General features: G+C 38.9%; 1 protein-coding gene and 1 pseudogene across 2 annotated transcripts in view; both read left to right on the plus strand.

The window, feature by feature from the left end:
* Nucleotides 1-15,266, plus strand: part of TAOK1 (TAO kinase 1) — a 161,541-nt gene extending 146,275 nt beyond the window's left edge. For both annotated transcript variants that reach the window (NM_020791.4, NM_025142.1), the window contains one exon: nt 5,924-15,266. In NM_020791.4, coding sequence (NP_065842.1) covers nt 5,924-6,385 — 462 coding nt within the window. In that variant the 3' untranslated portion in view covers nt 6,386-15,266. The remainder of the gene's footprint in view (nt 1-5,923) is intronic.
* On the plus strand, nt 6,984-7,138 carry LOC124904148 (uncharacterized; annotated as a pseudogene).
* Nucleotides 15,267-15,487: the final 221 nt, after the last annotated feature.

The following is a 15,487-nucleotide window of genomic DNA, read 5'->3' on the forward strand; positions in this document are numbered from 1 at the left end:
CATAAATCTTGAAAAATATAGCTTCTTCCATGTGCAAATTTCCTAAATCCATGTCATTCAAACTTTTTTTTTTTTTTTTTGAGACGGAGTCTGGCTGTGTGGCCCAGGCTGGAGTGCAGTGGCGTGATCTCTGCTCACTGCAAGCTCCACCTCCCGGGTTTACGCCATTCTCCTGCCTCAGCCTCCCGAGTACCTGGGACTACAGGTGCCCACCACCACACCTGGCTAATTTTTTTGTATTTTCAGTAGAGACAGGGTTTCACCGTGTTAGCCAGGATGGTCTCGATCTCCTGACCTCGTGATCCGCCTGCCTCGGCCTCCCAAAATGCTGGGATTACAGGCGTGAGCCACAGCGCCCGGCCATCTCATTCCATCTTTTATATTTGAAATTTAATCTAAAGTTCTCTCTTAGGATTCAGTATTATCACTAAATGGAAAACTCCCTATAATATTTCAAGAATGGTGTTATGAGAGAAATATTGGCACTATTAAAGTATGGTTATAATTTTAGCTCCACCTAGTGGTTAACAGTTAAACAGCACTAATTAGCATCTTAGTCTTATTTAATATCCTAACCAAAAACTGCATGTTAATACAAAGCCATTACAATGCAGGCATAAAATCAGTACTCATTGGTGAAGGTACAGTGACACTTTTATACAGTGTTAATACATCTTGGAAAGCAATTTGGAGTTGGGTGTATATATACTTGTTTGTTTTTTTTCAAGTGTCAACAGAGACTCACTCTGTTGCCCAGGCTAGAGTCCAGTGGTACAATCTCAGCTCACTGCGTTCTCCATTTCCCAAGGCTCAAGCGGTCCTCCTACCTCAGCCTCACAACTACAGGCATGCACCACCATGACCACTGATTTTTTTTTTTTTTTTTTGGAGGGGGCAAGGATAGAAATGGGGTTTCTCCATGTTGCCCAGGCTGGTCTCAAACTCCTAGGCTCAAGCAATCTGTCCACCTCGGCCTCCCAAAGTGCTGAGATTACAGGCATGAGCCACTGCGCCTGGAGTTGTATATTTAGCCTTGTAAATGTTAAGTGTTTAAAACTTTGAGGAAAAGAAATCCAAATTACAGGAAAAAAGGAAAAGAAATCCAAATTACAGGAAAAAAAAACTGCATAAATATGTTAATTATAACAACTTTATAATAGTTTAAAACAACCTAACTATTTAAAATAGAGATACGGCTGGGTGTGGCGGCTCACGCCTGTAATCCCAGCACTTTGGGAGGCTGAGGCAGGCAGATCACAAGGTCAGGAGTTCAAGACCAGCCTGGCCAACGTGGTGAAACCCCGTCTCTACTAAAAATACAAAAATTAGCTCGGCATGGTGGTGCGTGCCTGTAATTCCAGCTACTTGGGAGGCTGAGGCAAGGGAATCGCTTCAACCTGGGAGGCAGAGGTTGCAGTGAGCTGAGATCACGCCACTGCACTCCAGCCTGGCGACAGAGCAAGACTCCATCTCAAAAAAAAAAAAAAAAAAAAGGTAAACATGGCCAAGCCAATAAAAAAATCTTATTCAGCCATTTAAATGATGTCTGCAAAACCAGTATTAATATGGAAAAATGTTTATGGTGTGTTGAACAAAATTTTAAAAGACAAATCCTACTTGAAGTAATGTTAGTAGTGGCTATGTTAATGTGATAGGTTGATTTTTTTCTCTGTTTCTTTTTTAAAATATGGTTTTATTCATTTCATAATGGAAAAATGCATACAATTATTTAGTATTTAAAAGAGTAAAAGAACAATAGGATGGTACATCTATAGTGCTTCAAGATGTTACTTGGTTTTTATGGCTAATATTTTGCCTTTCAAGCAAAGTATGTGACTACAAGGCAGGCTGGGGTCAATTAGCAATCACTAAGACCCTGTACCTCTCTACAAAAACTTTGTAAAATCCTAAAAGCTGTGATTTCTGCACTTTATGCTTGCCGGTTGTACATACATATAAGAAGGAGACATCTGAAAATAAATAGAAATGGAACTGGAGTGAATGTTAGTTGATTCTAGATGAAAAATCATTCTGTTTGAAGATTGTTGTAAGTCTCCAAGTGAACCAAAAATTGTTCATTTAGTTTGAGACAAAATGAGCCTCACATGTACATGAAGTCTTGTTTCAATGTTTCTCATCCTTCATTTACATTAAATTTTTAGATAACAACACAACTATAAATGTTAAATTATATGTGAAATATATATATATGAAAAGTAGTAGCATTTCCAGAGTATAAATGACCTTTTTTTAATCATCTCATTTAATTTTCTCTCAAGATTTCACTTAGTATTAACATCATGGTTAGTAGTGTTTTTAAGTAAGAATTAAAATTTGGGGGTGGGTGCAGTGGCTTACACTGTAATCCCAGCACTTCGGAAGGCCGAGTGGGGCGGATCACTTGGTGCTCAGGAGTTTGAGACCAGCCTTGGCAACATGATGAAACCCCGTCTCTACAAAAAAAAAATACAAAAATTAGTTGGATATAGTGGTGTGCGCCTGTAGTACCAGCTCCTCTGGAGGCTGAGGTGTGGAGGATTGCTTGAACCTGAGAGGTAGAGGTTGCAGTGAGCCAAGATTGCACCACTGCACTCCAGCCTGGGCAACAGACCAGACCCTGTCTCAGAAAACAACAAACAAACATATTTTTGTGTAGGAAACAAAAAATTGCAGAAGAGGCCGGATCGCTTGAGATCAGGAGTTTGAGAGCAGCCTAGGCAACATGGTGAAACCTCCTCTCTACCAAAAATACAAAAAATTAGCTGGGTGTGGTGGTGCATGCCTGTTTTTTGTTTTGTTTTGTTTTTTGTTTTTTTGAGATGGAGTTTCACTCTTGTTGCCCACGCTGGAGTGCAATGGCACTATCTCGGCTCACAGCAACCTCCGGCTCCCGGGTTCAAGCAATTCTCCTGCTTCAGCCTCCCGAGTAGCTGGGATTACAGGCATGTGCCACCATGCCCGGCTAATCATGTATTTTTACTAGAGATGGGATTTCTCCATGTTGGTCAGGCTGGTCTCGAACTCCCGACCTCAGGTGATCCTCGTACCTCAGCCTCCCAAAGCTCTTGGGATTACAGGCGTGAGCCACTGCACCCAGCCAATTTTTGTATTTTTAGTAGAAATACCCAGTTACCCAGGAGGATAAGGTGGGAGGATAGCCTGAGCCTGGGAGGTGGAGGTTGCAGCGAGCCACGATCGCGCCACTGCACTCCAGCCTGGGTGACAGAGCAAGACCCTGTCTCGAAAAAAAGCAAAAATTGCAGTAGAATGTGGCAAAATATAATAACAGATTTATAAAGTATAGCAGAAATACAAAAGTATAGGAGTGATGTACTCTATAGCGGAGGGAAAGTGGGGCAAAGAAATCTCAGGGAGATGGTATAAAGAGTGCTTTCTGAAGGAAGAATAGGTTAACCAGAAACACAAGGAATGTGTAAAGGCATGGAGAAATGATAAAATAAGAAATGTTTGGGAGAAATTACAAACAGGCCAGGATGGACTGGAGTAAGAAGAGTTTGAAAATTGTTATTCTAAAACATGTTATTAAAGAGGCATTAGGCATTTTTTATGAAGGTTGAAGGAGGACTTAAACATGGAATATTCTTCTCAGGGAAAGATACCAAATGTCTGTATGTCTGTACCATCTTCTTTGAGACTTATTTGCTCCACTTTTCCTCCCCTATAGAGCAAACCGTTCAATACTTTTTTCTGTTTTTGTTTGTTTGTTTGTTTGTTTGTTTGTTTTGAGACTAAGTCCCATTCTATTGCCCAGGCTGGAGTGCAGTAGCCCCATCTTGGCTCACTGCAACCTTCGCCTCCCAAGTTCAAGTGATTCTCCTGCCTCAGACTCCTGAGTAGCTGGGATTACAGGCACCTGCCACCACTCCCGGCTAATTTTTCTTTTTGTTTTTGGGTTGTTTGTTTTTTGTTTTTGTTTTTATTTTTGTTTTGAGATGGAGTTTCACTCTTTTTGCCCAGGCTTGAGTGCAATGGTGCTATCTCTTCTCACCGCAACCTCCGCCTCCTAGGTTCAAGCGATTCTTCTGCTTCAGTCTCCCGAGTAGCTGGGATTACAGGCATGTGCCACCACGCCCGGCTAATTTTGTATTTTTACTAGAGACGGGGTTTCTCCATGTTGGTCAGGCTGGTCTCGAACTCCCAACCTCAAGTGATCTGCCTGCCTCAGCCTCCCAAAGTGCTGGGATTACAGTCGTGAGCCACTGTGCCCGGCCAATTTTTGTATTTTTAGTAGAGACGAGGTTTCACCATCTTGGCCAGGCTGGTCTCAAACTCCTGGCCTGAAGTGATCCACCCACCTCGGCCTCCCAAAATGTTGAGATTACTAGGCATGAGCCACCACGCCCGGCCTTGATACATTTTTTATTTCTGTAGTACCTTATAAATATCTTAACCCATTCTATTGCAATTTTTTATTTGTATTTGCTTCCCATGAAAAAAATTTTTGTTTTGTTTATTTGTTTGTTTGTTTTGAGATGGAGTCTCAGTCTGTCGCCGAGGCTGGAGTGCAGTGGTGTGATCTCTGCTCACTGCAGCCTCTGCCTGCCAGGTTCAAGTGATTCTCCTGCCTCAGCCTCCCAAGAAGCAGGGATTACAGACGTGTGCCACCGCGCCTGGCTAATTTTTGTATTTTTAGTAGAGATGGGGTTTCACCATGTTGGCCAGGCTGGTCTCGAACTTCTGACCTCAAGTGATCTACCCGCCTCAGCCTCCCAAAGTGCTGAGATTATGGGCGTGATCCACCGCGCCCGGCCTAGATAGGACTTTTGACTTTAATGTAATCATAATTCCACTGTGATATCTAACAGAATTCATAATAATTTTTAAATGCATGTCTAAATTTCCCCTATTATCTCAAATCCTCAATCCCAGCACTTTGGGAGGCTGAGGCGGGAGGATCATCTGAGGTCAGCAGTTCAAGATCAGCCTTGCCAACATGGTGAAACCCCATCTCTACTAAAAATACAAAAATTAGCTGGATGTGGTAGCACATGCCTGTAATCCCAGCTACATGGGAGGCTGAGGCTAGAGAATCGCTTGAACCCAGGATGCGGAGGTTGCAGTGAGCTGAGATAGTGACATTCCACTCCAGCCCAGGCGACAGTGCAAGACTCCGTCTCAAAAAAAAAGAAAAAAAGGAACTTGATTTTACACATTTTAAAAATATAAATTATGCTGATTCCTAAGGGACATCTCTTTTTATTTTTTTATTTTATTTTACTTTTTATTTTTTTTGTGAGACGGAGTCTCGCTCTGTCGCCCAGGCTGGAGTGCAGTGGCACGATCTCGGCTCACTGCAAGCTTCACCTCCCGGGTTCACACCATTCTCCTGCCTCAGCCTCCTGAGTAGCTGGGACTACAGGGGCCCGCCACCACCATGCCCGGCTAATTTTTTGTATTTTTAGTAGACACAGGGTTTCACCATGTTAGCCAGGATGGTCTCGATCTCCTGACCTCATGATCCGCCCGCATCAGCCTCCCAAAGTGCTGGGACTACAGGCGTGAGCCACCGCGCCCGGCCTTGATTTTTAAATGTATATCCATAGCATCAAATAATAGACACTAGAGACTACAGAAGGTGGGAGGGTGGGAGATGAGTGAGGGTTGAAAAATTACCTATTGGGTACAGTGTTCCCTATTCAAGTTATGGGTGCACTAAAAGCCCAGACTTCACCACTACGCAATATGTGCATGTAAAAAAAATCTGCAGTTGTACCCCCGAATATATAAAAACTTTAAAAATTTTTTAATAAATTAAAGGGAAAAAGTTTAAATAAAATTTGAAACTCATGGACAAATATACATCCATAAAATAACCACTTCAAAGCTGAATAATTATTGCTTCCTTTCTTTATAGACTTAAAAATAATAAATTGGCTTTCATTTTTCTTCCAATCTCCAACAGATTGAAGAAGAGATGTTGGCTTTGCAGAATGAGCGCACAGAACGAATACGAAGCCTGTTGGAACGTCAAGCCAGAGAGATTGAAGCTTTTGACTCTGAAAGCATGAGACTAGGTTTTAGTAATATGGTCCTTTCTAATCTCTCCCCTGAGGCATTCAGCCACAGCTACCCGGGAGCTTCTGGTTGGTCACACAACCCTACTGGGGGTCCAGGACCTCACTGGGGTCATCCCATGGGTGGCCCACCACAAGCTTGGGGCCATCCAATGCAAGGTGGACCCCAGCCATGGGGTCACCCTTCAGGGCCAATGCAAGGGGTACCTCGAGGTAGCAGTATGGGAGTCCGCAATAGCCCCCAGGCTCTGAGGCGGACAGCTTCTGGGGGACGGACGGAGCAGGGCATGAGCAGAAGCACGAGTGTCACTTCACAAATATCCAATGGGTCACACATGTCTTATACATAACTTAATAATTGAGAGTGGCAATTCCGCTGGAGCTGTCTGCCAAAAGAAACTGCCTACAGACATCATCACAGCAGCCTCCTCACTTGGGTACTACAGTGTGGAAGCTGAGTGCATATGGTATATTTTATTCATTTTTGTAAAGCGTTCTGTTTTGTGTTTACTAATTGGGATGTCATAGTACTTGGCTGCCGGGTTTGTTTGTTTTTGGGGAAATTTTGAAAAGTGGAGTTGATATTAAAAATAAATGTGTATGTGTGTACATATATATACACACACATACACATATATTATGCATGTGGTGAAAAGAATTGGCTAGATAGGGGATTTTTCTGAACACTGCAAAAATAGAACGTAGCAAAATGGCTTCAGTTATCACTTTTGGGTGTCTGTATCCTAAGAAGTTTCTGAAAAGATCTAAAGCCTTTTTATCCCATATCCCAAATTCTTATGAGCCACTCACAGCAGGCAGCATATGTTGAAATAAGTTATTACTGGTACACACCTGCATTGCCTCACCAGTGTATTTATTTGTTATTAAATTGATCTGACTTCTCAGCCTCATTTGGACTAAAAAAAGAAAGCAGAAATCCATGAACACATTGCTTCTCGGCCTTTTGGCTAAGATCAAGTGTAGAAATCCATGAACACTAAAGGACTTCATTGATTTTTTCAGAGAGTAGAAAACAACTTAGTTTTTCTTTTTTCCTGAATGCGTCATAGGCTTGTGAGTGATTTTTGTCCATTCAATTGTGCCTTCTTTGTATTATGATAAGATGGGGGTACTTAAGGAGATCACAAGTTGTGTGAGGATTGCATTAACAAACCTATGAGCCTTCAATGGGGAAGACCAGAAGGGTGAGAGGGGCCCTGAAAGTTCATATGGTGGGTATGTCCCGCAGCAGAGTGAGGAGATGAAGCTTACGTGTCCTGACGTTTTGTTGCTTATACTGTGATATCTCATCCTAGCTAAGCTCTATAATGCCCAAGACCCCAAACAGTACTTTTACTTTGTTTGTACAAAAACAAAGACATATAGCCAATACAAATCAAATGCCGGAGGTGTTTGATGCCATATTTGCAAATTGCCATCTATTGAAATTCTCGTCACACTACATAGACATAATTGTTATCTCCTTTTGGCTTATGTGATTTTCTGTTTACAAGTAGAATAGCCAATTATTTAAATGTTTAGTTGCCACAGTGAACCAGGAGTCACTGAGCCAATGACTTTACCAGCTGCTGACTAATCTTCATCACCACTGTAGATTTTGCTGCATGTGCAGGTCCTCTATTTTTAATTGCTGTTTTCGTTGCTGCAGTACTTTACAAACTTCTAGTTCGTTGAGACTTAGTGACCATTTGGCATCAAGTTAACATCACACAATAGGAAACACCACTTCCACAAGTCTCAAGCCTCAGTGCTAAAGTACTACTGAAAAGGAACTAGGAAGTTTGGCCAATTAAAAAAAAAAAGTAAAATAAGTTATAGTGGTCAGGGAATCTCTTGACGAAAGCTAACTCTTATTTTTCAGGGGGCACATGTTTTGTTTTGTTATGTTTTGTTGTACAATGAAGGATGAACCCAATGCTAAAAAGTCAGTTATTTTCTTGGTTTTCCATTTCTTGTATATAAATTGTGTTGGAGGTGGGTAGGAAGCTGTGAGTATGACTTGAAGAAAAATATCCTTTTCAGTGACAAATCAGAGTTTCTTACAAGTTATTGTCCTGCTCCCTTCCAAGTTGTCTTGAAGAATCCTTGCTGCTAACTCTGGATCCTGCTTTTCCTATAGTCAGAGGGCTCCAAGGTAGAACTCTCTAAGTCCCTCTCAATGGCACTCTTTGCCTAGACCAAACTAATGACCAAACAGTAATCAATCTATCACTGTTGAAGTCCTGGTTTTCTCAACCAAATTTTAAGTCTTTCCCAGGTATGTCAGTCGAGTTGCCATGAATCCTCACCTGTAGGAGTTTCTGGGATTCATTTTAAGGAAACTGGAAGAAAATTAATGTTTTAATGTAAATGTTTTTAAAACCAAGATCACCATAGAGTTCACACAAAATTTTAGGCAGTGTTTCAAGAAGCACTCTTATGTGTTGTTCTTTCAGCCCATGCTCCAGGTCACCGGTTTTTAGGTAAACATGACATGACATGTACTTGTAATATCAGTGAAAGGGGCTTTTAGTCGTCTCAGTATCTTTTTTGCATTCAGGTATTATAGCGTTTCCAACAAATTGAGAAATTACTTATTTGGTGTAAAATGACGAGAGAGCTTTAGAATTTAATAAAATGTCAAAAATACAATTTGATACCCTTAAAAATTATTCATAGATCTGGCTGCTCTGTACTACTGGATGGGTGGAATAGGGAAGCAGATCACTTTTGCATACAAAAACTCTTTCAAACCCAAAATATTATTGGTGGTACATTTTAAAGTCCAATTGTGGACTTAAATTAGTCAAATTGAGAGTTACTGAGTCCATTCAGATCTCCAGTAGGGTTTTGTATCTAATGTATTTGGCCACCAGTTTTACATGTAGGTCATGACTATACCTGGATTTTATCATTAAGTTAACTTTAAAGTATATACAGTTTGCAAAAAATGATTCAAATTAATTGGTTTGTATATGTTTGTGAGATCTAGCTTCTGAGGAATCTCATACATAGTAGGAACCATCATAGAGTAAAGCTTGTAGCAGAAAAATTGGAAGGGTTTTGAGATATCCTAGAGAAAGAGCAAGCACTTTCTGAATCAGTGGGGAAATATCAATATTTGATCAAATTAACACTACCTCCTTCCCAGTGTTGGTGTTCACTCACTATATGTCTTTAAGAAAATTAAAACTATGGAAAATTTGTCTAGCATATCAGAAGTTGTAAATGCTATATCTGGTATCCAGAGGCTGGCTGTAAAAAGTTCCTTGGGGTCACTCTATCTCACATTTTTTTTGGTTAGCATTTTAAAAATGCAAAGCCACATACTTTGAAATATATTATTCCAAATTGAGCTCCCTTCCCTTTGCACATATTTTTTCCTCCCCTTATTGAAGTCAGCTCTAACCCCAAATTCTAGTATCCAAAAGTATTTTTATTTGTATAATGCTATCTGAAAAATGTGTTTATATTATATTTTCAGAGCTGCAATTCTTATTCGCCATTTCAATACCTAGAGATAGAGAGTCTTGTATTTGAAGCCACACACACTGGTGTAATATGCTTAGTACTCTAGGTCAAGGATTTGTTGGTAAATGGAACATTTTAGCATAGTCATGATTTTTGGTTGCCTAGACATCAGGTAAACATTCAGTACACTAAAGAAACTATCCTGGACACTCCCTCCTGCTTCCACCAATTTTTTTCTCACCCCCTTTTCAAAAATTGAAAACTCTATGAGTGTCTTTTTGAGACCATAAAGCAGACTTTAGTAACTTTCTATTTCTGTAAGTACTAAATGTCTGGCATTTTAAACTTTTGTAGAATACATTATGTTGGACACTGGAATAATACTATTTATTTTCACCTGTGAAAAATGACTTCATTGTACTTGAAACACCTCCTTTGCATTTCTCCATTTGTGCCATTCACTAGTGGAAATAAATTGTATTATACCATGATCTACTGGCTTTTTAAAACTGTATTAAATATGCACATTTTTGGTATAGCTATTATCATTTGTATGTATATATTGTATATACATATGAGTGTCTGTATGTGTGTATAGATGGATGGATGTAACTCATACTGTACATTTCCATCAGGGCACTTAAAAGTTCTGTTATTTTTGTTTGGTTTTGTTATTTCAGTCCTCAGTTAAGGCAAGAATGCATGTGTTTCTTAAGAATGAGTACTCTGCGTTGATGTTTATGAGAAGGTGGTCATTAGATGCAGTCTTTTCCTTTTTAATCCCCTCTTAGCACTTCTGTGAGTGGAGAGGACATTAAGTAAAATTTGGAATCATAAGTTGCAATGCAGTAAAATGGTGCTGGGGAAGGAGCCAGTTAGTGTTTCTGTGAGTTTGTGTTGTGATGCAATAAGAGATAAGTAATGCAGAGAGAAATGAACCATGGAAAGTAAGAACACTGATGGTGATTCCTCTGCAAAGATGATAAGAAAAAGAACCAATAAATCACACAATCTTTATGTGCTTTCTATATGTATTTCTTAGTAGTGATACCATTGATCCTCTTACTTTTTTTACTCCATTAATACTAATAATTATATACTTTGCTGAGGATCAAAACAGCCAAGAAAGGAATTACTGCTAAAGCATCTAAGATTCTCCTGAACTGTAAAATCAACAGGAAATGGCCACTGGGAGAGAAGGATTTGGTATTGGGTGAGGGGCTTTCTCCCTTTACCTGCCTCTTCTTGCTTGCTAATAGTAAGTTCTTTGTGCACCTTCCACCACTTCTGAGCCACTACTATTCAAGTAGAGATTTGCCCCAACACATTAACTTTTTCCTTGGAGATTTATATGGTCCTGCATTTTGTCCTGTGCTCACAATGTGAAGTGTCTTCTGTATTCAAATCAAAAAATAATATATTTAAGGTATATAAGTGTGAATCTCCTATAATGATGGAAGAAGAGGTTCTCTTGTCTTAGATAGAAAAGAGCCTTCTCCAAGAGCAATGTCAAAACTTGGGCTGTCATCTTTGAGCTGTTTACCAAAATACAGACCATTATTGAAGAAAAACAAATTATCTATTTTGTTTTCCCCCATCTAACATGATAGTGCCCCCAACCAGGTTGTAGCATTGCCTTTTAAAAGAGACTCACTCACTCTTAGTTTTTAAGAACTGGAAATTTCCCATCCTCAGATCCCTTAAAGGATGAAGAGTTGGCTGTACACTTAGCGGACTTGCCTCTTGTATGCAAGGACTACTGATTGAAGTCTGTTTTGCTGTGTCTGGTTATGTTGTCTGCACTTTTATGAAATCACTACAATAGGTCTGCATTGGAAATGACTATTAATTTGTAAAGAAGTAAGTTTTATTAAACACTGTCTAGAAAAAGAAAGTGAAGCTGAGAACTCTTCCTTTATTGTGCATTTATATTTTCTGCTGAATTCCGGTAGTTCCCTTTAAAGTCATGTTGACTAATGTTTTCCTCCTTGTTTGTATTCAGATTTCCAAAATTTCACTCATACAAGGGAAGAGACTCCATTTAGCTTAACGGTAGTCTTTAGATCATAAGAAATATATAAATTAGTATGCACCTTATCTGCCTGTTGTGGGTTTCTTAAACTTGCACTTCCTACCCACCCAAAGATAGATATCCTTTAAAGAAAATAAAGGCAGAGAATTAAAACTGGGGAGCCATTTACTATGTCACCATCACTGTTAACTGTTTCCCAGCAATCTAAACTTTTTGAAGTTTCAGAGGTGTATTTTTTTTTTGTATATATGTCTGTGTGATTGTATTGTTTTGTTTCTAAATATACAAGGAATTCTTTAAATAGAGAAAAAGGTTAATCCTCACTGAAACACCAGGATGCCCACTGGATATACTAATCTGAACATCTGTAGGTAGTTTGTCATGAAAAAGTGGAGAGAAGATGAGACTTTTGAATGAATGAAAAAGGGTATCTTGATACCCAGAATTCCCCCCAAAGTACGGGTAATTCAACCTGCACAGTTTTCTTTCACTCAAAGTGTTCAGCACTTGTGAGTGAAAAATCATGTAATTATCTGTAAATATGTAGCTAACAAATTGACCTAGTTTCTGTATTTTTTTGTTTTTGTACTAAAGTTTATAGGTCTGTGCCAGCTAGAGAGAAGTTGCTGTCATTACCAGTTGTGGTCCTAGCATCTAACCCTGAAACCATCCTAGGTGACATTTTTAGAATTAATACTTAAATGTTAAACAGGGGGAAATGAAGCTTAATCATGGTCAGGTTTGAGATCTTTTGCAGTGAAATAATTTTATTTAATATAAATGATCACATGTCCTCAATCATGAATGAGGTAGGGAGCCTCTCTCCCCCAGTGGCCATGTTTACAAAAGTGTGTTTTGTCTATAAAGTGCAAGTGTTTTAATGTTTATGTAAATTATGCAGGTGATAACATGGTTTGGAACTGTTTATTGGGCTCTTTAACTGAATTTTCAAATGAAATGAACTATGCTTATTGCTGGCACATTGATCCCATTTCTGGAACATTTTTCCTATTTCCAGAGTTACATATGTTCTTTTGTCATTACCCAATTTAACCTCCCTTTCTCTGATATGCCTTGTAGCCAAAGTATTAAAGGCTGATGAACATAGACAAGGGAAATGCATTTCTTAGAAATCCGTGAACCCTCAGTTGTATGCTTTCAGTACTCGTGTTAATATGTTTCTATGGCAACTCTGAGGTCAGTGGTTTAGAAATGAGATACCAGTGTTAATGAAAAGTGTGTGCTCTTTGCTTTTGCATGGCTTGGCTTAGTATCCAAGGTATATTAGGGCCACTTGAAAGCATGAAGACCAGTTATATAGGGAACAGGTTTCTCTCAGTGGCACATTTTGCTTTTTCTGAGCCCCAAATACATTGCCTGGGCATGAACATTGTTACCGTAAATTGCACATGGTCATGGACTGAATTATGTGACTTTAAAGGATGTAACTGCCCAACATTTGCAGATTCTGGGTGGTCTATGTGACCATTTGTCTCGTATCCAAAAACCCCGGGGCTATTGGAACCCTTCCAACACTTTTTCCTTTGTCATAGACAAGTTTATATATAACTTACCAAGATGTTGGCTGTCCTGGTGTATTGCCAGACAGCTCTCTTTTGGTTCCCATTCCAAATGTGCTGCTGTCCTTCTTTGCATTTCACAATATCAAAGAAACCACCACCCTTCTTCCTAACAGCATTTTATGCCTTTTATTCCACATTAAATGGGAATTGTGCCTACTTAGGAGTGCCCCTCCAATTAATTACATGTGTCCAAGAATAATCCAAGCTAGAGACACAAGGTGGGAAAACATTTCAAAAAAAAAAAGTCCTCTTAAGGCCAGTAATTTATCTGAAAAGGTATTTTATCACACCTTGACACCTTATATATGAGCCTATTAGGAGCTGCAGGTGGTTTCATAGGGTAAAATCCAAGAAAAGAGAAGGATGTGTGGGGTTTCTATTAGAAGATAATTTTGTTCTCATTTTACCTTTTCTTTTATGATCCTTCTCTGCTAGAACAGGTTAATTCTCCAAATTTGTTTTGTTTTGTTTTGTTATTTTTTAGGGAACTCTTTTGCAAAAGCAATGGTCGGATGTAAATAACATTTAAAGTATAGTGCACATAACTTCCCCGGACTGTTCCAATCTGATAATTTGTAAATGCTTTAGAGTTTTTTTAATTAACACTTGTGTTGCTAAATTCTATTTATGTAAGTCTGCTAAAGTTTTTTAGCCCACTTAAAACTTAAGACAACCATTTAAAATAATGGATGGGTTACTATGAGCAATTTCGCTTTCAGAACCCCCTTGTTTTAGTATATGAAAAAGCCTAATGCGCATTAATGAGGTTGAAGAGACTATGAGAAATATGTATAGTGTATATTTTAAAACAGCTTTGCTTGTATTGTGAAGATTTAAAAACAAACTTGAGATTTTTAACGTAACTATTAACACAGTTTTAACATAAGTTATCCCACTGGGTTTAAGAGCATCTTGAATGTATAATCCTTTTTGTAACCCAGGTTGGTTTCTACTTTTACCAGTCACCCAAACATATTTATGTTTTTAGTTTTATGTACTCATTTCCCTTTGTTTTCCTCAAACAGCATGATTTTTTTGCACATGTAGAAATTTTTTAAAAGAAAGAAATTAGTACATCATTTTCTCTGGATTTTCTTCACTTCCCTCTTCCTTTCTACTAACTCCTTCCTTAAAGGCCATATCACTCCATTTGCATTATTTGTGCAAATGCCAGGGTTGGTTTTTATTTTTATTTTTGCTATTTACCTAAAAAAAGAAAATGCTTCAGTCAATTGCTTTTTTATTTAAAAAAAAAAAGAAAAAAAGCTGTAACCTTATCATTTCTGAGTAGACCATTGAGCGATGAATGCACACCTGTAGTAGCCCAGGACCAGCTGTGGTGGCTAAAGGGAATATGTTAATTAAGCAAGAGGTTCTTTTCTAAAAGTGGTATCTGTTATCCACAATGTATTTTAGTTATTCCCACAAGTCAGGGGTCCAGATAAAATGAGGGTTATCAGCTAACTGATATGCTATCATTGAGGTTCATCAATGAATTTGTACATTTCTAGTTCCCTTTGGTGAAGGGAAAAATGATGATTTTGCAAGACCTAGATTTTGGCTTGGTTTCTTGCCTCCTTTTTTGGCAGCCTTCATCTTCTCATCTCCCAAACCCCCTGAGCCCGTAGGGTTTTCATAGTGGACAAAGAACTTGTGGTCTTTTAAAACTGGGACTGATACTTTTTTGAGAGAGTATCGTGTCGAAAGTGTGATGTTCTACCACTTTACCAATAACTAATTTTAAATACACATTGTCCTCTCGATTTTTGGACCAAACAGACGCTCACAGTGGAGGCTTATCAAGGGTTGCATTGGGGAAGAAGCCTCTCCCTCTCTGTCAGCACCAGCTGGTAAAGGTGACTGTACAGATGTGCATTTTCCTTTTGGTATAAATGGTCCACAGCACTAACTGGTAAGGCTTATTGTACAGTATATTGTCAGTATTCTTCTGGTTCAGCATACCTTATAGTTCATATATAACCTGTATTAATTGTATAGATTGTGCATTAAAAGCTGTTACCAAGTTGTCAGAACATAAGAGCGAAAACAAGGTCATATGTAATATTTTGTTTGTAAGTATCCTTTGTATCATAGCAAAGGAAATGTTTAAAAAAATCAACTGTAATAAAGTAATTTTAGTACACAGTGTCTGTCCAGTTTTTTTAAGCAATTTTATTCCCATGAAGATAAACTCTATTGAGTGACTATTGGATAATTACTGAACCTTAGGCAGTGTGCTGAATGTTGGGGTTACAAAAATGGGATTACCACTCAGATGGTAAGAGTGTACCATCTGATAAAAGACATAAACCCTCGTCCGGGTGCGGTGGCTCGCACCTGTAATCCCAGCACTTTGGGAGGCCAAG

Source organism: Homo sapiens, chromosome 17, assembly GCF_000001405.40.
Source record: "Homo sapiens chromosome 17, GRCh38.p14 Primary Assembly".
Taxonomy (NCBI): Eukaryota; Metazoa; Chordata; class Mammalia; order Primates; family Hominidae; genus Homo; species Homo sapiens.